At 41.5% G+C, this 23159-nt stretch overlaps 1 long non-coding RNA gene across 1 annotated transcript in view, besides 1 other annotated feature; it reads left to right on the plus strand.

The window, feature by feature from the left end:
- Window positions 3577–4419: an enhancer, noted in NCBI's record as "OCT4-NANOG-H3K27ac hESC enhancer chr1:59169902-59170744 (GRCh37/hg19 assembly coordinates)". NCBI's record gives its function as "activates a minimal SCP1, AML or CMV promoter by ChIP-STARR-seq in primed H9 embryonic stem cells {active_cell/tissue: H9 hESC(primed)}" and the evidence as "EXISTENCE:reporter gene assay evidence [ECO:0000049][PMID:30033119]".
- Window positions 12403–23159, plus strand: part of LOC112268263 (uncharacterized) — a 47142-nt gene continuing 36385 nt past the window's right edge. Inside the window, exons 1-5 of the long non-coding RNA XR_007066129.1 lie at window positions 12403–12500; window positions 14179–14296; window positions 14841–14988; window positions 17104–17267; window positions 17908–18095. This is a non-coding gene — a long non-coding RNA (uncharacterized LOC112268263). The remainder of the gene's footprint in view (window positions 12501–14178; window positions 14297–14840; window positions 14989–17103; window positions 17268–17907; window positions 18096–23159) is intronic.

The following is a 23159-nucleotide window of genomic DNA, read 5'->3' on the forward strand; positions in this document are numbered from 1 at the left end:
ACAGCAGTATCTTTCTGGACTGATGAAAAAGTCAAGCTAGACCCGCTTTGTGAACTGAAGGTTGCATACCTGCTGGTTATTTAAGTCTCTCTCTTTGTTTTTTAAAGAAAAGGGTCGTGCAGCACTTATGTGAAGTCGTTCAGCATTTCACCTAAGTGCTGAACAACTTTTATTTTAAAATTCAACAAATATTTAAGAATATAACTTATGATTGTGTAATTTATTTTGTAGACGTCTTTGCAATTTAAAAATCACGCTCATGACCATTAATCCTTACAGTGTCCCAGTGAGGTAGGCAGAGCTAATATCACCAGTTATACTTTACAGGTGAGGTAACTGAGGCCTGGAGAGCTGAAATGACTGTCCAAGGACAGGTAGCTTCAAAGACAGAGCCAGGAGTAGAATCCAGGCTTTGTTGACCCTCTACTGAGTGCTCACCATGTAACAATCATGTTGTTAGAAATTGGAGGATAAACACCACTTCTGTCTAGTTTATAGTTTCTCAAGAAATTAGATACTGACAGCCAGATGCGGTGGCTCACACCTGTAATCCCAGCACTTTGGGAGGCCAGGGAGGGCGGATCACAAGGTCAGGAGTTCGAGACCAGCCTGACCAACATGGTGAAACCCCGTTTCTACTAAAAATACAAAAATTAGCTGGGCGTAGTGGTGGGCAACTGTAGTCCCAGCTACTCAGGAGGCTGAGGCACAAGAATCGCTTGAACCCAGGAGGCAGAGGTTGCAGTGAGCCGAGATCACGCCATTGCATTCCAGCCTGGGTGACAGAGCGGGATTCCATCTCAAAAAAAAAGAAAAGAAAAAAAAACCCTTCTGCATTCCCCTGCCTTAGCAGCTATCACTCACACCTTGTAATTTTTCATCCGTCTGCCTTCTGCACTGGACTGTGAATTCCTTAAGGACAAAGACCACGTCTGCTAGTCCTTACACTACCAATATTCAGCATAGTGACACATAGCAGGTGCTCAATAACTATTGAACAGAGGAATGAATGAATTAATTAATTAATTAAATGACCTCACTTCTCACACTATTCCCAATTTGTCCCATCTCACCTTTGTTCTCAGGCTGCACTCTGAATATGATGGCAAAAGATGGAGAGAAAGAATTGCAAAGAGGGAGAGCCCAGTTCAGAAACCAAACACTGCTAGGGCCCATTCTCAGGCCACCATGGGAGTGCTGCTTCTGTTGTCAGTGGGCTTATCCAGTAACCAGTCCCACTGGTAACACCATGCCTGGAACAGAGTAGGCACTTAAAGATGTCTGTTGAATTTAATTTAGAGCAAAATTAGGGTTTCTTAAAAAGATGTAATGGGCTGGCCGGGCGCGGTGGCTCACACCTGTAATCCCAGCACTTTGGGAGGCCAAGGCGGGTGGATTACCAGGTCAGGAGATTGAGACCATCCTGGCTAACACGGTGAAACCCCGTCTGTACTAAAAATACAAAAGATTAGCTGGGCGTGTTGGTGGGCACCTGTAGTCCCAGGTACTCGGGAGGCTGAGGCAGGAGAATGGCGCGAACCCAGGAGGCGGAGCTTGCAGTGAACGGAGATCGCGCCACCACACTCCAGCCTGGGCGACAGAGCCAGAATCCGTCTCAAAAAAAAAAAAAAAAGATGTAATGGGCTAAATCATCAAAACAAATGTAAAATGGTATGCTTTTCACTGATTTTACATAGCAGGCAGGGATGGGGACCCTGGCAGGGCTGTCTGGATATACATGATATCAAATGAGAATGGTGCTTTCTAGAGCATAATGCAGAATACCATGTGAACAGCATCTCTGGCAATGCAGACGCAAAAATGTTTCTGGTCCAGTGCCAGATATCAGTAGGCATTAAAATATATGTGGAAGGAAAGGCCTGTACAGAATTCAGAGTTGCCCAATTCGTCTCAAAACCCCCCTGAACAGAGACACTAGCATAAAGCTTTCCCGTACACACCCCACACCCTGCACTGGGTCCACTGGCTTTATGTGAAACTGGCTCGTTAAGGGTCTAGGTCTAACTCCTTCCAACAGGATAGAGCTATGAGCTCACATGCAGATGAACTCCAGAGGCCTGGTCTACTATTTAAAATTCCCTCTAATCCTGCAACCCTAGGACTTGTTGAAAGACTCATTTCTCACCAAGTAGTTTGAAAGCAGAATGAATAATTCAGAATTAGTGTTTCATGAAACTTGTAGCATTCCTACTGTGCTTGGTACTGATGCATTGAATGAGATTGACTCAGTGTCTGCCCTCATAAAATCAATCAAATGTGCAATTTCAGGCCAGGCACTGTGGCTTATTCCTACAATCTCAACACTTTGGAAGGCTGAGGTGGGAGGATTGCTTGAGCCCAGGAGTTTAAGACCATCCCGAGCAGCATAGTGACACCTGTTTCTATAAAAAAATCAAATGAAACAATTAGCCGGGTGCAGTGGTGCATGCTAGTAGTCCCAGCTACTCAGGGTGGGGTGTGGGAAGGCTGAGGTAGGAAGATCACTTGAGCCTGAGAAGTAAAGCTCTCTAGCACAGGCAAGAGTGAGACCCTGTCTTAAAAAAAAAAAAAAAAAAAAAAAAAAAAAAAGGGCCGGGCGCGGTGGCTCACGCCTATAATCCCAACACTTTGGGAGGCCGAGGCGGGCAGATCACGAGGTCAAGAGATCAAGACCATCCTGGCCAACATGGTGAAACCCTGTCTCTATTAAAAGTATAAAAATTAGCTGGGCGTGGTGGCGGGTGCCTGTAGTCCCAGCTACTCGGGAGGCTGAGGCAGGAGAATCGCTTGAACCCGGGAGGCGGAGGTTGCAGTGAGCCAAGATCACGCCATTGCACTCTAGCCTGGGCGACAGAGCGAGACGCCATCTCAAAAAAAAAAAAAAAAAGGCAATTTCACAACAATGTAACAAGCTCCATGTCCATGTCTGCACGTCTACGTGTCCATGTAGCTCCACGTCTGCTACAGATGTGTGCTAAAAGAGTAATAATCATAATAATAAGCTTCATGATAGAGAACCTACAAACTGCTGTGGGATCTCCGAAGAGGGGCACTTAGCCCAGGATGAACCCTCTCCTTTACTGTACTTCTGAGGAAAACGTGGGTCAGTCAAAATTTGAAAGTACTGTCAGGCCTCTGAGCCCAAGCTAAGCTATCATATCCCCTGTGACCTGCACGCATATATCCAGATGGCCTGAAGCAACCGAAGAGCCACAAAAGAAGTGAAAATAGCCTTAACTGATGACATTCCACCATTGTGATTTATTTCTACCCCAATTGATCAACGTACTTTGTAATCTCCCCCACCGTTAAGAAGGTTCTTTATAATCTCCCCCACCCTTAAGAAGGTTCTTTGTAATTCTCCCCACCCTTGAAAATGTACTTTGTGAGATCCAACCCCTGCCCCCAAAACATTGCTCTTAACTCCACCGCCTATCCCAAAACCTAAAAGAACTAATGATAATCCCACCACCCTTTGCTGACTCTCTTTTCAGACTCAGCCCGCCTGCACCCAGATGAAATAAACAGCCTTGTTGCTGACACAAAGTCTGTTTGGTGGTCTCTTCACATGGATGCGTCAGACAAGTACCACTTTAGACCGTGGGAAATACAAAATAAAAACCCCTGTTTCTAACTTAAAGAAAGAAGCAATGGAAAAATACTAGAGGGCATAGTGCAATGCTGGGCACTCACACAGAGCCAGGAATAGTGTCTGCTCCCACTGGCCAGACTGAAAAAACCTCATGATTCAGGTAGACAATCTGAAGGGTGTGAAAGGAAAATAAACCTCGGGACCCCAAAATCACTAAGCCCAGGAAAAAGTCCAGCTGGGAACTATGTCAGGCAAACCTGCCTCCCACTTTATTCCTAAATAAGATAGCTGCAAAGATTAAAAAAAAAAAAAAAAGCTACATATCTCCTTCACAATTTGCGCACAAGGAAATTCCTTGTGGACCTCAAGATCTTTACCCAAAACAGTTCTGTTGAATTTCACCCTGGCAATGTAAATTGATAGCTCATCTTCATAGGTGGGACAGAAAGTCACCCTCTGCTCACCTGAGACAAAGGTATATCTGATTGCTTCCTCTGCCCTATTGTTAATGTAAAAATGCAGATTCACTGAGCCAGTCTATGTAAAAATGCAGATTCATTGAGCCAGTCTAAATTGTGTATTCAGTGAAAGGCTGAGCTAATTTAAAAGTGGGAATTGAGCTCATTCAAAAGAATGCAACCTTTTGTTTCTTATCTACCTAAGACCTGGAAGACCCCTCCCCCACCATGGCTGTCACAACTTCCAGACACATATTGATTGATGTCTCATATCTCCCTGAATGTATAAAAGCAAGCTATACCCCAACCACCTTGGGCACATGTTGTCAGGACATCCTGAGGCTGTGTCACGGGTGCGTCCTTAAACTCAGCAATATAAGTTTTCTAAATTGATTGAGACAGATATGTTGGATTCACAAAGGTATTGCCCAAGTAGTGGAGAATGCTTAGCTCTGGGTGAAGCACTGTTCTGCCACTGCCTAACAAATCTTAAGGACAAGACCTAAAAGGATCAAATTGTTTCCTGGTAACTTCACTGCATACCCCTTTTCTCCTAAAAGTACAAGGATATTTATAGGGATACAAAAATAGCTAGCACTAAACAAGGTAAAATTCACAATGCCTGGCATCCCATTACCAGGCATGCAAAGAAGTAGGAAAATACGACCCATAATGAGGGGAAAAAAATCCACTGAAACCCACCCAGTAGTGGCACAGATGTTAGAATTACTACACTGGGACATTAAGACAGTTTTTTTTTTTTTTTTTTTTTTTTTTTTAGATGGAGTCTCACTCTGTCGCCCAGGCTGGAGTGCAGTGGCGTGATCTTGGCTCACTGCAACCTCTGATTCTGAGGTTCAAGCGATTCTCCTACCTCAGCCTCCCGAGTGGCTGGGATTATAGGTGCCTGCCACCACACCCAGCTAAGTTTTCTATTTTTAGTAGAGATGGGGTTTCACTGTGTTGGCCAGGCTGGTCTTGAACTCCTGACCTCAGGTGATCCACCCACCTCAGACTCCCAAAGTGCTAGGATTACAGGCATAAGCCACCTTGCCCGGCCTAAAATACTTACTATAACTGTGTTCTATATGTTCAAAAAGTTAAATAGAGACATGGAAAATACAAAAATAATGAAATTGTTCTTCTAGAGATGAAAACTACAATGCCTGAGATGAAAATACACTGGATGGGACTAATGGCAGAGTAGAGGTTGTGGAAGAAAGGATTCGTGAACTTGAACACGTAACAAAATTAACAATCCAAAATTAAACACATGGAGAAATAAATAATATTAAAAATAAACAGAGAATCTCTGAGCTATAGGATAAATTCAGGCTTCCTCGTATATATGCAATTGGAGTCTCTGAAAAGCAGAGGGTGGGGAGGTCAGGAAAAATGTTTAAAGAAATGACTAAAAAAATTTTCAAATTTGAAGAAAACTACAAACTCACAGATCCTGAAAACTCAAGGAACCCCAAGCAGGAAAAAAATAAAAATGAAGAAAGAAAACCATACTATGGCCTATCATAATCAAATTCTCAAAACCAGTAACAAAGAGAAAACCTTACCAGAGGAAAAAAGGTAGCCAGGAGCGGTGGCTCACGCCGGTAATCCCAGCACTTTGGGAGGCCGAGGCAGGCGGACCACGAGGTCAAGAGATTGAGACCATCCTGGCCAACGTGGTAAAACTCCGTCTCTACTGAAAATACAAAAATTACCCAGGCGTGGTGGTGCGTGCCTGTAGTCCCAGCTACTCGGGAGGCTGAGGCAGGAGAATGGCGTGAACCCGGGAGGTGGAGGTTGCAGTGAGCTGAGATCACGCCACCGCACTCCAGCCTGGGCGACAGAGCCAGACTCCGTCTCAAAAAAAAAAAAGAAAGAAAGAAAGAAAAAAAGGCACATTACCTATAGAGGGAAAAAGATAAGAGTGACAGCAAATTTCATGTTGAGGAGAATGGAAGCAAGAAGAGGGTAAAGCAACATCTTTAAAGTACTGAAAGGAAAAAACAAATCAGCCACATGTGAATTCTATACCTCATTAAAAATATCTTTCAAAAATGAAGACAAAGTAAGGGCTTTTTAAAGATATGCAACATCTGAAAGAGTTCATTCTCAATCTACCTATACTACAAGAAATGTTGAAGGACATCTTTCAGGCAGAAGGAAATGTTATGAGATGGAAATCTAGATCTACATAAAAGAAGAGAATAGGGAATTAGGTAACTACATGAGTACATATATAAGATTTTTTTCCTAATATTTAAATCTCTTTAAAAGAGAATTGACTGTTTAAACATAAATAACATAGTGTGAGATTTATAACATATATATGTCATAAATTATATATATACTTATATGGACTGTTCATATTGATGTGAGCTTTGTGGCAGTTAAGATTCTAAAAGCAAGGAACAATTTGACTATATGCAACAGTAATGTGAGGTCCAGGAAGGAAGAAATTGCAAGGAAGAAATTACAATGCTATATTGTAAAGTTCGTATACTATACAAGTAGTGATATAATATCACTTAAATGAGCTATTATTGTGATATGTTAAAAATATGTAGTATAGCCAGGTGCGGTGGCTCATGCCTGTACTCTCAGCACTTTGGGAGGCCGAGACAGGTGGATCACAAGGTCAGGAGATCGAGACCATCCTGGCTAGCCGGGTGAAACCCTGTCTCTACTAAAAATACAAAAAATTAGCTAGGCGTGGTGGCTGGTGCCTGTAGTCCCAGCTACTGGGGAGGCTGAGGCAGGAGAATGACATGAACTCGGGAGGCGGAGCTTGCAGTGAGCCAAGATCGCGCCACTGCACTCCAGCCTGGGCGACAGAGCGAGACTCCAGCTCAAAAAAAAAAAAAAAAAAAGTAGTATAAACACTAATACAATCAGTAAAATAAAACAAAGTTTGAATGTTAACCATAAAAACATATTAATATATTAATTACTTCTATTGTTATTTTTTAAAGCAATAAAAAGGGGTTCGGAGGGGTTGCTAACTTGCTAAAGGACATAGAACTAGGAATCAATGGAGCAGGAATTCAAACCAAAGCCAATTTCAAAACATAAAAACATATTAATATATTACTTCTATTATTATTTTTTAAAGCAATAAAAAGGGGTTGGGAGGGGTTGCTAACTTGCTAAAGGACATAGAACTAGGAATTAATGGAGCAAGAGTTCAAACCAAAGCCAATTTCAAAGCTAATGTTATTTTTTCCCACACCAGACTGTCATGTGTGTGTGTGTGTGTGTGTGTGTGTGTGTGTGTGTGTGTATAAACAATTTTTCGGCTCTTAGGTCTGTAGAGAGTTGACCCTCAGAACTTGTGAATACAAAACAACAGATTGTCTTCAGAGTTAAAAGGTGAGATCACCTCATCAGAGCAGAGCTATCCAAGTAAACAAATAAATGGAAAGACATTCAGGCCCAAATGAATTCACACGTCTAAGTTCACAGTGGTAAATGCTGTCAATGCACTTCCAAGCAATGTCCAAGGAGTAGGAAGCTGTAGTGTTACAAATTTCTGGTTCTAGTGTGGAGGAAGATTCTAATATTTTCCATCCCATTAGCCAGACCACCTATACTATGACAAGATAAACTCTGTGAAAGAATGGACTTTGTTTTGTTTATTTCTTCATTCCTACGGTCCACAGCAGTGCTGGCTGTATAGTGGGCACTCAATAAATATTCGTTGAATAAATGGTTCCAGAAGGCCATGACTAATAGCATGAATCCATTACACTGGAAATATACATTATTGTTAACTATAGCTACCTACTCTGATATTGAACATTAGAGTTTATTCCCTTTGTCTAACTGGATGTTTGTACCTATTGACCAACCTCTCTTCATCTCCCTGCCCCACATACCTGTCTATAGGCTTTTTAAGTATGCTCCAGGCAACCTTCCCACTTTATACCTAGTCACATCACTTTTTACTAATTTTGTACACAGAACCAAGGGCAAAATGCCAAATCCAAGTGAGGTACCTCCACAGTTTAACATTATGTTAAAAGGAACGTTTTCAGATGATCATACATTTTTCTCATCAAAATGAACTTTTTATTCCTAGTCCCCTTAAAAAGAGAATTGTATATTTAAAAATACATAACACTTACATAGGAAAGAACATTTTTATGCTTTATGGTACTCTGCTTTCCTGCAAACTGAATTAATGTCAGAATAATTTTAGACTGGAAGAGGAGGAAGAAGAGTTATAAACAGAAAGGGAGGGTCAGGGCTAATATGATCACCTGTCCTATCCCAGATATTGTGTAAGGCAGAATCTTCCTTGGACCTCCCAGGAATCCTGCCAAGTAAGTAGTATTGCCCCCATTTTAGAGGTGAGGATAACAAGAGTCAGAGAGTTACCACAGCTGGTAACTATCAGAGCTGGGACTCCTACCCAAGTCTTTCTGACTCTACATTTACTGTATTATATTTTCATACTACAACAGAAAGAATATGGTATTTTGCAATATTATGTGAGCTGGTATTTTCTCATTTTGTTTAAGAATAAATTATAAGTGGACAATTTTCTGACTTGTTCAAGGTGCTTCATCTAGAAATAAGTAGAAAGTATATTTTAAAGGTTGGAACTTTGTCTTCAGTTTTACAAGTTCCTTTTCTGCCACCATCAATACATTCTATTTCCTTTGTTGATCCTAAAACAAAATTAACAGGAGATGTCATACTGTAAATCCTCATGGATGTTGTTAGAGGAACATTCAGTCAATAAAGGGTCTGTCTCATATTTCTACTACATTATGTTTGAATCCATTGGGAAGGCTGCCTATTTATTTCTTGTTTTCTCCCATTTTGAGTAAAAAAAAAAAAGATCACTGTATTTTTATTGAAAAAGGAAAGTATAATTGCAATATTAATCCATAAAAAGCTGGCATGTTAGCATTCATGCTAATTAGCTCAGATTTGTAACATGCTTTCAAAGCAGGAAGTGTCATACAACTGCTCCTAATGTTATTATTATGTTATGATCCAAACTGTCAGCTAAATGATTGCCAGGGATTCAAAGAGTTTCCATTTTAAAAATACAATAGCTAGTGGGCAGGGAGGAAAACCACTTTATCTATATAGAGGTGAGATAATAGATGGATGCAGACATAAACTTATGGGTTACACTTGGCAGGCATTGGGTATGGCTTGAATTGTTCCAGGAAAGCAAGCTGCATTTTATTTTCTTTTCCCTCCCCAATTCCCTGAAATCACATAAGGTAGCTACTGAAAAAGCTGTTCTCAATATGTTGTAAGGAAAGTCTGCCAATGCACTTCTTACATTTTAATTACAGTAATGCTATATCCATCTGACATTATCTGAAAGGGAAAGAAGGAATGCCAGCATTAATGAGCTCCTACTGTGTGCCAGGCATTTTACATACATTATTTCTTTCCAGCCAGACAACAGCCCTTTGAAGTAGATATTGTTATTTCCGTTTACAGATGTGGTAACCGAGGCTCAGAATAGTTAAGCAATTTACCCAAGGTAATGTAACTTATCATCTTTTCAATTACATCATGCAGTCTTAGGTTAGGTACCAACAGCATCATTCAGACTTACACCTTTTCTTCTCAGCGACCCCCGTGGAAAAATTATACCTCTTTCCCAATAGCTCCAGGTGGATGGGTATGGTTGACCAGGCCTGGATCTCATGCCATTCCTGATGCCAGATGGACTCAGTTCCACGAGGGCCACCTGAAAAAAGAAGGAATGGTAGCTTCCTAAGCAAAATAAGAGGGCTATTTTCAGAGAGGAGAAAAGGATGTCAGGCAGGCAGAATGACAGATGCCCACTAGACTGTTCTGTGTTGTATAATTCCCCTGTGTTCCCCCAAGCCTTTAGTGCAATCTATTAACCACTGCAGACTCATGTTAGTGTTACATCGGGCAAATTACTCAACCTCTTTAGACTTCTGATGGTTAAATGACCTATAAAATTATCTCTTCCAGGAGTAAAATTCTTTGATCATGTTTTTATTCATTTCACAGACATTTATTGAACATTGTTATAGGCAAAGCAGAAGAATGGGTGTGTGGGAATGCACATGGGTTTATATATGGTTGGCTGGTTAGTTAAGCATGAACTACCATCAAAATATACCCTCTGCCTGACATCCCTACCACTTCCCCTACTCGCAGCCCATCCCCATTCACAGGGCTTCCTCCCTCCTGCTAAAAGTGCTGGTTCTGACTCAGCTCTGGCCTACTGTTGCCATTCTGGAACTCTGGCTCAGAGTTGCTGGATCTTCTGAGTTTTTTAAGAGAAGTCAGAAATAAAGATTAATTTGTGAAAACCAGTTTAAATTTTTTAAAGACATTGTTGAATCAAACAAACACTTAAATGGGCTACATCTGACCTGCAGTTTGTGCCGATTGGTCTGTGTCCTTCTCTCATTCCACAGGTAATGCTTCAGTGTTCTTATTTTCTGATAGATCTGTCTGGCCCACAGTTACCAGCTTCTTCTTTTTTTTTTTTTTTTTTTTTTTTTTTTTGAGACAGTCTCACTGTGTCACTCAGGCTGGAATGCAGTGGTGCAATCTTGACTCAGTGCAAACTCCACCTCCCGTGTTCAAGTGATTCTCCTGTCTCGGCCTCCCAAGTAGCTGGGTTACAGGTGCCTGCCACCAAGCCCAGCTAATTTTTGTATTTTTAGTAGAGACAGAGGTTTGCCATGTTGGTCAGGCTGGTCTCAAACTCCTGACCTCAGGTGATCCACCTGCCTCGGCCTCCCAAAGTGTTGGGATTACAGGCGTGAGCCACCACACCCAGCCATGAGCTTCTTAAGGGCAGGGAACACTCCTCTGTTCATTGTATCCACAGCACCTAGCACGACACACAGTAGGCACTTAATAATTGTTTGTTGAATGAGTGAAGGAATCAACTGGAAAGAATAAGGCCAGGATTTAAAAAATTAAAAACAGAAACCTTACTTTATAAACACACAATCAATGGATACTTTAGATGAGAAAAACTATGGATAGATAAGATTTTAAAAGCAACTGACAGCTTACACCCATTAGAATGGCTACTCTCAAAAAAACCAAAAAAAAAAAAACAAGTGTTGGATAGACTGTGAAGAGATTACAACTTTTGTGCATTAGTGGCAATATAAAATAATGCAGCTACTATGGAAAATAGTATCGTGGTTCCTCAAAAAAATTAAAAATAGAATTACCATATAATCCAGCAATTCCACTTCTGGGTATATGTCCAAAAAATTGAAAGCAAGAACTTAAAGAGATATTTGTGCACCAGTGTTCACAGCAGCATTATTCACAATAGCCAAAAGGTGGAAGCAATCCAATTATCTCTTAATGGATGAAGGGATAAACAAAATGTGGCATATACATACAATGGAATATTATTTAGTCTTAAAAGGAAAGGGAATTCTGACATATGCTTCAATGTGAATAAACCCTGAGAACATTGTGCTAAGTGAAACAGCACAATCACAAAAGGACAAGTAACGTGTGGTTCCACTTATATAAGCTACCTAGTGTTGTCAAACTCCTAGAGACAGAAAACAGAATTATGGTTCAGGGGCAGGAGTAGAGAGAAATGGGGAGTTAGTTTTAATGGTTACAGAGCTTCAGTTTTGTAAGATGAAAAGAATCCTGTGGATGATGGTGATGGTAGCATAACAATGTGACTGTGCTTAATGCCGCTGAACTGTATACTTAAAATGGATAAAGCTGATACATTTTATGTTATGGCTATTTTATCATAATTAAAAACAAGTAAAAATAAAGACAAGAAATTGGAGCATGATTTTGATAAAAATACAAAACCTCACAGAGAAGGGGAAAATTGTTAACATAAATAGAGTCCCAAAGCCCCTTCCCATTAATGAGGGAGAGATCTATGAAGTTCTAGTGCCTGTTTAGAGTCTCTACTTTTGGGGGAAATGAAGGGCGACAGAAGGCAAATAACTAAGTTTAGGAAAACAGCTCATTCTGTATTGATTCTAAAGGACTTTTGAAGAATATAAACCTGTGCTGTCTCCCATTTCTATAGCTCATGCATGGTAGAATATATGCATACACACACACAAAAAGAATGCATGAGCACAAAACCTAGTCTAGCCCTTCTCTTTATTGTCTAGGTAGTTCCCTTTCTGCAAGAAAAGTCAGCTTTAGAGTAGTCTCCTCACTTAATATCTTTCTAACGAGCCACACCCTCCCTCCTCTGTGACCCTACAGCCACTGTGCATGCTTGTGTTAGAGTGCTCATCGCTCTGAATATCGTCTGTGGCCCTGCCTGAGTCCACACTTGCCTAGGAGCTCCTTGAAAACAAAGACTATGTCTAAATTATTCATGCTGGCCCTTTGTAGGTGCCCAATCAGTGTTTGGGGAATGGATGACTGACACACCATCTACATTATGAAGCACATTGTTACCTCCAGAGCGTCAAGATACTCAATTCAATTTTGTAAGTGTTTATTGAGCACCCACTATGTGCCAGACACTGTTCTGGAAGTTTGGGATAAACCAATGAATAAAAATCACAATGTTTCCTACCGTGGTGGAGCTCACATTCCTAGCAGAGGGGAAAGAAAATAAAAAAGAGACATAATAATTTAATTATACATTTATTAGAGGTGATTGAGTGCCAGAAAAAAAAAAAAGAAAGAAAAGGAACAGGCTAAGGAGAGAAGGAGTTTATGGTGGTTGAGGGCTATAGGTTCTAAATAGGGAATTCAGGGTAGGCCTTATTGGAAAGGTGACATAAGGTCAGCCTTGAAAAGGTGAAAGAGTGGCTGGGCACAGTGGCTCATGTCTGTAATCACAGCACTTTGGGAGGCCGAGGTAGGTGGATCACCTGAGGTCAGGAGTTTGTGACCAGCCTGGCCAACGTGATGAAACCTTATGTCTACTAAAAATACAAAAATTAGCTGGGTGTGGTGGCACACACCTGTAGTCCCAGCTACTCAGGAAGCTGAGGCAGGAGAATTGCTTGAACCCAGGAGGCAGAGGTTGCAGTGAGCCAAGATTGCACCACTGCACTCCAGCCTGGACAACAGAGTGAGACTCTGTCACAAAAAAGAAAAGAAAAGGTGAAGGAGTTTGCCAAGCCAATGGAGTGAGACTCTGTCTCAAAGAAGAAAGAAAGAAAAGAAAAGAAAAGAAAAAAAAGAAAGAAAAGAAAAGAAAAGAAAAAGAAAAGGTGAAGGAGTTTGCCAAGCTGATAATGGAAGAAAGAGCTCCAAGTGAAAAAAAAACAGCCAGTGCAAAGATTCCAAGCTGGAATGTGCCTGGTGGAGGCCAGGGAGGTGGAGAGAAGTGTGCAACAATGGGGGCAGTAGGAGAGGAAGACAGACAGGCAACAGGGTCATATGTGGTGGGGCTTTACTGTCATTGTAAGGACATTAGCTTTTGTTCTGAGTGAATCGGGGAGTTATTGTAGGGATCCAGTGAGATTAAATACAGATTTTAGCAATGTGATTTCACTGAAATTTACTTTGGATTGGTGTATGTATGGAGCGGTCAGTAATATGATATATGTGATTTTGGGAGGAGGTCTGATTTTTTAAGAAAAAAATCCCACCAACTACAACTGATAATTTTATTAAAATAATTCCTTTTCCCCATGATCACAAATGATCACATCTTTATCAATGTCAACTGTTTTCAGCTGCCTGACTTATTTTCCCTTTATTTATACTGGATTTCTTTCCATTATAAGGTTTCATTTGAACAGTCAATCAACTGCTTGAGAAATAGACTCACTGCTATAACATTACCCATTCATTTAAAACTTGAATTTTCACTCCATTGAGAGATCCTAAGACTGTAGCTGTGTGCTAGTTACTATGCTGGATAGCCACTGAGGTGAACAAGACCCTGTCATCACTGCTAAGGAGTTCATGCTCAATATATAAACTATTTATCATCAATGCAACAAGACAAATGCTGTGTGAGAGAGGTCGGTACTTGGCAGCTTGGAGGTCTTATGGGGCACAGTTAACCCTGTGCATGTTAGGAAAGTGACCTCTTGTGCAACACCTCTCATCATCTCAGCACACCTTTTACTCCAGCTATTGCCATGGCAACAAGCTTCACACAAGTGCAAACTGACAGCACCGTGCATCTCTCCCTTTCTGCATCAGGGCTCCTCAGGCTCAAGCACAACCTGGAAAAACGAAGGTGTTAATGTTCCATGAGGCAACTGATGACCAATGGGGAGCAGGAGCTGGTGAATGAATGTTCCCTTCATCCATCCTGCAGGTAACAGTTCTGAAGTCCATCCTTTGCAGATCCTCAAGTGGTCCATGTTTGGTGGAGCTCCAGTGGCCCACAGAAGGGAACAACTCAGTATTTATTTTATATTGACTCTCTCCCCTTCACTGTTTCCCTCTTTTCCAGTCCTGCTCCATAAGCCTTGGGATCACTTCCTAAATAAATCATGATCTTCAAGCCCTATCTCAGGTTCTGCTTTCCTGGGGAAGTCCCAAATTAAGACAGTAGTGTTTGACCTGGGTTTTGAAAATTGAGCATGAGTTTTTTAAGTGGAGAAATAGAGATAGAGAAAGAACATTCCAGGCAAAGGGAGAAACATGAGCAAAGGTCAGTGGGCATGAACGGTACAGAATGTGTTTAGGGATTAGCAGTAATATACTGTGGCTGAAGCATGGGGTATACAGAGAGTCTGAGGAGGAGATTACTGGTGGGAAGTTTTGTTGGTTGAGAAACACCTATCAGATATACTGAGCTAAGAATACTGGAAAAATGTTCACCCAAAATTATGTTTGTTGTTTGCTTTCCTCTCGAGCTTCTACATTGTTCTTCATCTCTGGGAAATCAGTGACCCATGGACTGGACAATAACTTTGAGCCATGCAGTCAAAATAAAATGGAATATTTAAGTGAAAGATCAGGTTCTGGAAAATAAAACTGCTCGTAGCTGCATATTATCTACCGGTGAGTAAAACAAGTTTACTGCCACCATCTTAGTGTGACTAAAAGAGGGAGATCCTAAAGAATTTCAAGGAAATAAAGAAAAGTAAATGGAAATGGATTGTGTAATATTCGTTATTATTGATTAAATTTATAAAATAGCAGTGCATTTTTATTGTTTTATTAATGCAAACAAAAAATTTTATAAGAGCTTTTGTATAATCATTCCTTACTTCACTACCTTATTTACTCTTAAGGACTTAACTACAAATACTCTCGCAAGGAGGGTGGTGCTTTTGGGTTTGAACGGGAATTTCAAACCTCTTTACTTTAGCATTGTCTGTCTCTTGTCTTATGTAATAACTGCCATATTTAATCAAACTTAAATTGCATTGTAATGGATAGTAAGTGACTCCATTATTTTATGTGCCCCTAAAAGACAAAAAAGGTCTGCCAATTATGTTTTGACACGGTGTCAATTGTAAGATGCATCCTAGTTCCAGAGATGTGAGAAAATATGTAGCTTAAAGTTATTTCTCCCACCTGATTTTGGGTTCTGAAGGCAGGGATCCGACTTGTTCAACTTTGGCTCTTTCTCACACTTGGTACAATTCTTCATACATATATGATTCATATGTGTTCAACAAATATTTGTTGAATTAAACTGAACAGGTCTGTATTAGTCTGCTCTTGCATTGTAATAAAGAGCTACCTGAGACTGGGTAATTTATGAAGAAAAGTGGTTTAATTGGCTCACATTTCCACAGGCAGTATAGGAAGCATGAATGAGGAGGCCTCAGGAAACTTACAATCATGGCAGAAAGTGAAACGGAAGCAGGCACATCTTACATGGCTGCAGTAGGAGGAAGGTGGGGGTGGGAAGGTGCTGCACACTTTTAAACAACCAGATCTCTTGATAATTCAGTCAACAGCCTGAGAACAGCACCCGGGATGGGGGGATGGCATTAAACCATTAGAAACTGCCCCTATGATCCAATCACCTCCCACCAGGCCCCACCTCCAACACTGAGGATTACAATTGAACATGAGATTTGGGTGGGGACACAGACTGCATCCAAGCCACATCAAGGTCTCTATCTTTACCTATTTTGACACAGCTCCTAATGTCCTACCTCAGACATAGGACATTTCATAGGATGAGAATCTCATCATCTATTTTAGAACCCTGCATAATATAATAAAATAGACCTACTAAGAGCATCAACAAAAATCTCATATTGCCATCTTTTTGTTTATTCTGACTTGAGGACTTAAAGTGTAGAAGGTCTTCCACAATGTGTTTTACGTATAAACTCCATGCCACAGGTTGTTTTCTATCACATTTATGAGAAAGCCAAGAACTGTTTTTAGAAAGTCATTGTTTAGGTAAAATATGATAGTAAAAATAATTTTGAAAGTACAGATATTGTGTTAATTATTTACATATGAGGGTGTGTTTTGAAGGCCACATGCTGTCCCTAACTGTTCTAACCCTTCGAGGGATTTACTTTGGAAGAAAAAACTGGACATCAAGGAATTATTCATATACATTTTCTGTGTTTTCATTTAAGATGGGAAGGGATTTTTCAAGGTTTTCCACGCTTTTATTTGATTTAATTTCATGCTCACTGAAGCCCATTTCCATCACAGTCACCAACACCTTGAACTTGCTGTGATTTTCCCCTGTTAAGCAGCCCAGATGAGATTCAGTGAGATTCTTGGCTTCTAGGCCCCATGTCTTGGAAACAGACCTCACTGCATCAGTGAAGATTCCAGGGCATTCTTCTTACTGATCCGACTAAGCCTTTGAAAATATAATATGACCACTTGGATTTTTCAGCATTAGCTTGAATCTGGCATAAAAGGAGCCAGAGATGTTGGAAGGCTCTGTCGCCTGGGGGTGCAGTGGTTACACCTCATTAGCCCCAGAGCAAGGGCCCCTTTCCCCTTTTTCCTTGGGCCTCTGTATCTTCCCATCCTGGCCTGGGGCTGAGACTGCCTGGGCCTGGGGGAGGGAGCACAGAGTCATCTGAGGCCCTTCCCAGGACAGCCTGTAGACCCACACCCACCCTTACATTCTACAGCAGGGATTTCATCTTTATTTCCATTTTGTCTGATCACGGCTTGTTCTAATTTAAGAACTTAGGTGGATTCTCAGAAAGAAAAAGGTGATGTTCACTGGCATGAACAGTGAATGGTGGAGTGGAACGTGAACAGGCTGGAGCTCTGGCTGTGCCATTTATTAGCCATGTGCCTTTAGAAGGTCCTCATCTTCTCCAGCCTCAGTTTCACCATCTGTAATGGTAGGTAAGAACCTCTACTTCAGAAGGCTGTTGGAAAGACGAAATGGTATGAGACAAAATGAAATAATGACATCCTAAGTGGAAAGGGCTCGCCTGGGGTCTGGTTAACAAGTATCACTGCCTCAGGTAACAGTCTTTCTCAGCAGTGCTGCATACAAACCTCCTCTGGCTTTGACCTTAACAGCCATTGTAGGTCAGTGTTCATAGCAGCCCCCACTCAAGTGAGGGTCCAGCTCTGCAATGAGTTGTGCCTAAGAAGGTCACAGGGGACCAGCCCCTGCTGTGTAGCGCAGGGAGGAGGGCTCTGTCATTTCTGGCCATCATGGCCCTTTGCAGTCAGCCTCAGCCTGAGATAAATATCACACTCTTGCATCTCACTTTATATCTGAGATCATCTGGCCCTGCCCACATCCTCCTCTGCTAAATGAGTAGAACAGACGGACTCTAAAGCTGCAGAATGATTTTAAAAATAAATAAAACCAAATAACAACTTGAGTCTAATGATTTCCCTTCAGGTTGTGCAAGCAGGAAAGTTTAAAATCACATAAGAATGACTTGAGGGAAAAGAACACCCCTTTCTGCTCCCGGTAAACACAATCAGCTTTGCTGGTCTGGGTTTTTTAATGATCTGCATTTACAGGAGTATCCATGACCCAGAGAGAGTATCAGTGTCAAGAATCTGCCAGTGAGAAAGTGATTTGAAGCAGCTCTGGAGTTCAGATGGCCACGGGTGCAAGTGCCTGCTCTGGTGTGCTTTGCCTCTGGAAAGATGCCAAGTCTTTGAGAATCTTTGCTGCATCAGCCATGCTACATCCTGAGGACTTGGAGGTGAGGAAATCCTGTGTGCACTTGTTTCCTTCCCTTCAAATGATATATCCCAGAAAAATGGCAAGCTCTCTGCTTACTAACTCTTTTCTTTTTCTTTAGTTCCCCCTTAGCTTTCTCTCTCCTTTCTTCCGTCTTTCTCTTGCCTCCTTTCATTTTTGGTAAAATCCAAAGCGAAATGTCAACTCAGAGGACATAGCTGTTTGTCTTCACCACCTACAAACTGTATTTCCTGGATCAAGCCGCTTAACTCCATTGAACTGTTTTTAGCATCCTGAAAATGGGGAATCACACTTTCCACTTATCCAAGCATTTGCTCATTCGTTTATTAATAATGTAACACCCTTGAATGCCAGGCCCTGAACTGAAGATATGGTCCTGACCCACTGGGTAGTCACAGGAGAGTGGAGAATAATGCTTCATTTGCTATGTTGCTTCAAGAATTACATAAAATAAGGCAGTTAAAAATATTTTGTGAACCAAATAGTGCATTATGAAAAGATATTAACACTTCTTACTTTCTTATAGCAATTTCTAAATGATTTAATTTCTGCCATCAAAATATCCCCCTTGTGTTGATCTAAACCATCAGATTGCAAGGTAAAGCCCTGATGTAACTGATGAGATGAAGAACACTGTATGGCCATTATTTTAGGTACGATAAACATTTGACTTCTCTTACAGAGACCTAAGGAAAATGACTTAAATAGGGTAGAAATGTCTTTCTCATGTAACAAGCCATGCATTAGCAGACCAGGGCTAGTGTGACAGTTCCTCCATGGGTCACTGTGTGGTTCATTAAGGTGTTGTCCTCCTTGGCATGACCCACGATGGCTGCCAGTGTAACAGCTGAATGTCAACCAGCAAGACAGAGGTGAGGGGTGGGGAGGAGGGCATGCCTCTTCCCTCTGAGAAATTGCCCACCTACTTCTGTTTATGTCCCATGAGCCAAAATTTAGAATTAGGTGTCTCCACCTAGCTTCAGGGAGGCTTGGGAACTGAAGTCTTTATCCTGGGCATTCTAGCATACCCTACATCCAATCTGTCAAAGTTGCATTTAGAATCCAGCCCCTTCTCACCACCTTTACTTCTTTCATGGCGGTCCAAGCCACTTTCACTGGATGACGGCAGTAGCCACCTAACTGGCTTCTCTGCTTCTTCTCTTGCCCTCCACTGAAATCTTTGCTCAGCGCACGTTGAATAATGACTCTTTTAGGATGTAAGCCAGATTTTTCAACTCCTCTGCTCAAACCCCTGCAATGGCTTGCTAGGCCCTGTGGGATTAGGCCTTTGCTACCTGTCCCTTCCTTCCATCCTCCCTCCTCCCTTGCTTACTCCACTCCAGCCACATCTGCTCCCTTCCTGGCCTCAGGAAGGCAGACATGCTGTTGGGTAGGGATTTTCATCGGTCGTTCCTTCAGCCTAAAAATTGTCCATTTCAGATATTCACAGGGCTCATTCCCTCGCCTCCTTCAAATCTTTCCTCAAATGTCACCTTCTTATAGAGGTCTATCATGACTTCTCTACTTAAAATGGCAAGACCTGCTTCCCAACTTTTGGCACTCCTAATCTGCCTTATCTTATTCTTTTTTTTTTTTTTTTTTTTTTCACAGCAGGGACATTTTCTAATATAGGTTTATACTTTACTTATTTACTATCTTTAGTGTGTGTGTGTGTGTGTGCCTCTTCCCTTGCTAGAATGACAGCTCCCTGAAGGCAAGGATTTTTTTTTCTTCCCTGATGTATCCCCAGTACCTAAAAGAGTGCCTGGTGTATAATAGATAATAAATATTTCTTGAATATAAGCTTGCATGAAGAGATGGAGCCGAATCCAGTTCTGATGACATCATTTGAGCTCTGGTTCCATGTGCCTAAAGCAAGAATTCTACACTTTTCAGTTCCATGGGTCAATAAATTTTCTTGTGTTTATTTATTTAATTGGAAGACTATTATTTAACTAAATCAATTAGAATTGGGTTTCTGATATCTGCAAGAGAAGAGCCCTGGCCTTCACAGGGAGCTAATATAAAGTCATAGAAGACCTCTCTGAGGAAGAAACATTTAAGCTGATGCCTGGAGGAGGAATGGGAACTAGTCATAGCAAGATTGTGGGGGCGGATGGCAAGATAGGACAGTGCAGGGAGAATATTCCAGGATGGTATCGTGGGAGCCCCAAGGCAGGCAGACATTGAAAGCTGGCCACCAAGGCTAGAATACAATGAATGAGCTGGAGAGTGGTGTGAGATGAAGCCAGGAGGTAGGCTGAGGCCAGATCACAGGGGCCCTAGGAATCACCAGGGAGGATTTTTAATGATATTCTTGGTGCAATGGAAAGCTATTTATGGGGCTTTAAGCAGAAGAGTGGCATATCTAGTATACTTTTCTCAAAGATCACTTTGGGTATTGGATGGCTAATAGACTGTGGTGTGTGTGTGTGTGTGTGTGTGTGTGTGTGTGTTTCGGGGAGACTATTGTGAAAGTGGGGAGAGCAGGGGTCCAGATGGGAAACAACAGTGTTTGGACATGGGTAGTGGCAATGGAGAGAACTAGATGAAATTGAGATATATTTTGGAGGTATAATCAACAGGCTTTGGTGACAGATTGGCTGTGGGGGTGAGGAAGAGGGAGGCAACAGGAATAACTCCTAGGTTTTCAGCTTGAGCAGTGCGAGGGATGCAGGTGCCGTTTGCTGAGATATGGAAGATTGGAGCAGGAGGAACGTCGGGAAGAAGCTCCTGGTCAGAGGCAGCCTGGCCTGGCACTAGGTGCTTCTTGGCAGAGCATCGGTGACACTTCCTGCCATAGTTAGACACTGACTTATCTTGAATGTGTTGGACAAGCAACTTGTTGCAGCACATTAAAATTCCTTTTCCATGAGGGAAAAGTAAGGACAACAGTCTATTTGCTCTATTTTTCTCTGCAGATAATTTGGTGGTAGTAAATTCTCTCAAAGTGAGAACACAGATGCAGCCAAGAGCTGGGCCATGCTGGGATCATGGTGTTGAGGGCAGCTCTTGCTCATGGAGCTGTATTTGAGTAATCGTTAGGGTGTTCCTTGATGGGGGGGTGGGGTTTCAGGATGTACCATCACATTGGGAACTGGGCTTGATGGCTTTTGAGGTCTTACCAGCCTTGGGGTTCTGTGATTCCACAGTTCAGCCATTGACAAGGTTTTCTTTTCTTTTTCTTTTCTTTTCTTTTTTTTTTTTTTTTTTTTTTTTTTTGAGGCCGAGTCTTGCTTTGTCGCCCAGGCTGGAGTGCAATGGTGGGATCTAGGCTCACGGCAACCTCTGCCTCCCGGGTTCAAGCAGTTCTCCTGCCTCAGCCTCCTGAGTAGCTGGGATTACAGGCACCAGCCACCATGCCCAGCTAATTTTTGTATTTTTAGTAGAGATGGGGTTTCACCAGTTTGGCCAGGCTGATCTTGAACTCCTGACCTCCAGTGGTCCACCCGCCTCAGCCTCCCAAAGTGCTGGGATTATAGGCATGAGCCACCGCGCCTGGCCGAGAAGGTGTTTTTAAAATAAACAAAAGGTTGATGATTGTGGGTTAGCAGAACTTACTAACATTAATGTCACTAAAGTTGGTATACAGCCCCCATCCACTGCTAAATTTGGCTGGCTTTTAAAAGAAAAATAAAATAAAATAAACAAAAGCTGGAAAGGATGAAGGAGGCCCTTGGATGAAACAAGTTACTAAGTGGGCTTTAATAATTCATTCATATTCTCAAAGTGACAATTTACTCTCTCAGGCCAGCCTAAGCTTTTGAGCCACCCCAGTAGGCTTATTCTCCTCCCTTCAGTATCAAAATATGAATACACAAATAACGGTTAAGATTTTACAGTAGCATAACATGTTTGGAATGTAAATTTGGGGCGAGGGAAAGGAAGAATATAAAGTTTGTTGCTGTTGGCACTTAAAAAGTGCAAGTTGTAGAGTCCGACAGACTGAAGTCTGAATATATACTCTGTCATGTGTAGCTGTGCGATCTTTAACAAATTACCTAGCCTCTCTGGGTCTCACTTTTCCAATATGTAAAATACAGGCATGTAGAGCTCAGTTCCTGCCTCATAGGATAGTTGTGAGGACCAACTGAGATCCTGGTGTGGAGGAAGAGGCCAGTCAACGTGAGCTACTATTTGGTGTTTTACAAGCACTTTAAAAACAGAAGTTAAAAAAAAAGTATTTTGATCACTCAGAGAGAATAGTGTTAACACTTTGAGCCTTTTTTAGATGTATTTTTTGTCCTGTACATTTGTATTACATAGTTATGGTTATATTGAATTTTGTATCCTGCTGTTAGAGTCAGCTCAGGCTGCTATGACAAGATACCACAGACTGGGTGGCTTAAACAACAGACTTACTTCTCACAGTTCTGAAGGCTGGAATGTCCGAGATCAAGGTGCTGGCAGATTCACTGTCTGGTGAGAGCCTGCTTCCTGCCTCATAGATGGTGCCTGCTTGTGGTGTCCTTACATGGCCTTTCCTCAGTGTGTGCTTGTGGAGAGAGAGGTGTCACTTTCTTGCTCTTCTTATAAGGGCACTAATCCCATCATGAGGGGCCCAGTCTCATGACTTAATTTAAACTCAATCACCTTCCAAAGGCCCCATCTGCTAATACCATCACATTAGGGGACTTCAACATAGGAATGTTGGGAGGATGCAAACATTCAGTTCACAACACCTATTTTTTGTCTTTTAATATTATTAGGCCATCAACATTCTTCCTATTTTTTCAGTTATGTCCCAAATAAAGGTCTTATTTTTTCATCACAACTTTATTAATATATAGTTCATATACCATAACTTTCACCCTTTAAGGCATACAAATCAACTTTAAAAAAATCATATTCACAGACTTGTGTAACCATCACCATCATCTAATTTTAGAACATCAGTTTCACCCCAAAAAGAAACCTCATCAGCTGTCACTCCTTTCCTTCTTCTCAACCTCTGGCAACCGCTAGTCAACTTTCTGTCTTCCTAGATTTTCCTATTCTGGATAGTTCATGTAAATGGAATCATATAATATGTAGTGCTTTGTAACTTCTTTCACTTAGCATCATG

Source organism: Homo sapiens, chromosome 1, assembly GCF_000001405.40.
Source record: "Homo sapiens chromosome 1, GRCh38.p14 Primary Assembly".
Classification (NCBI taxonomy): Eukaryota; Metazoa; Chordata; class Mammalia; order Primates; family Hominidae; genus Homo; species Homo sapiens.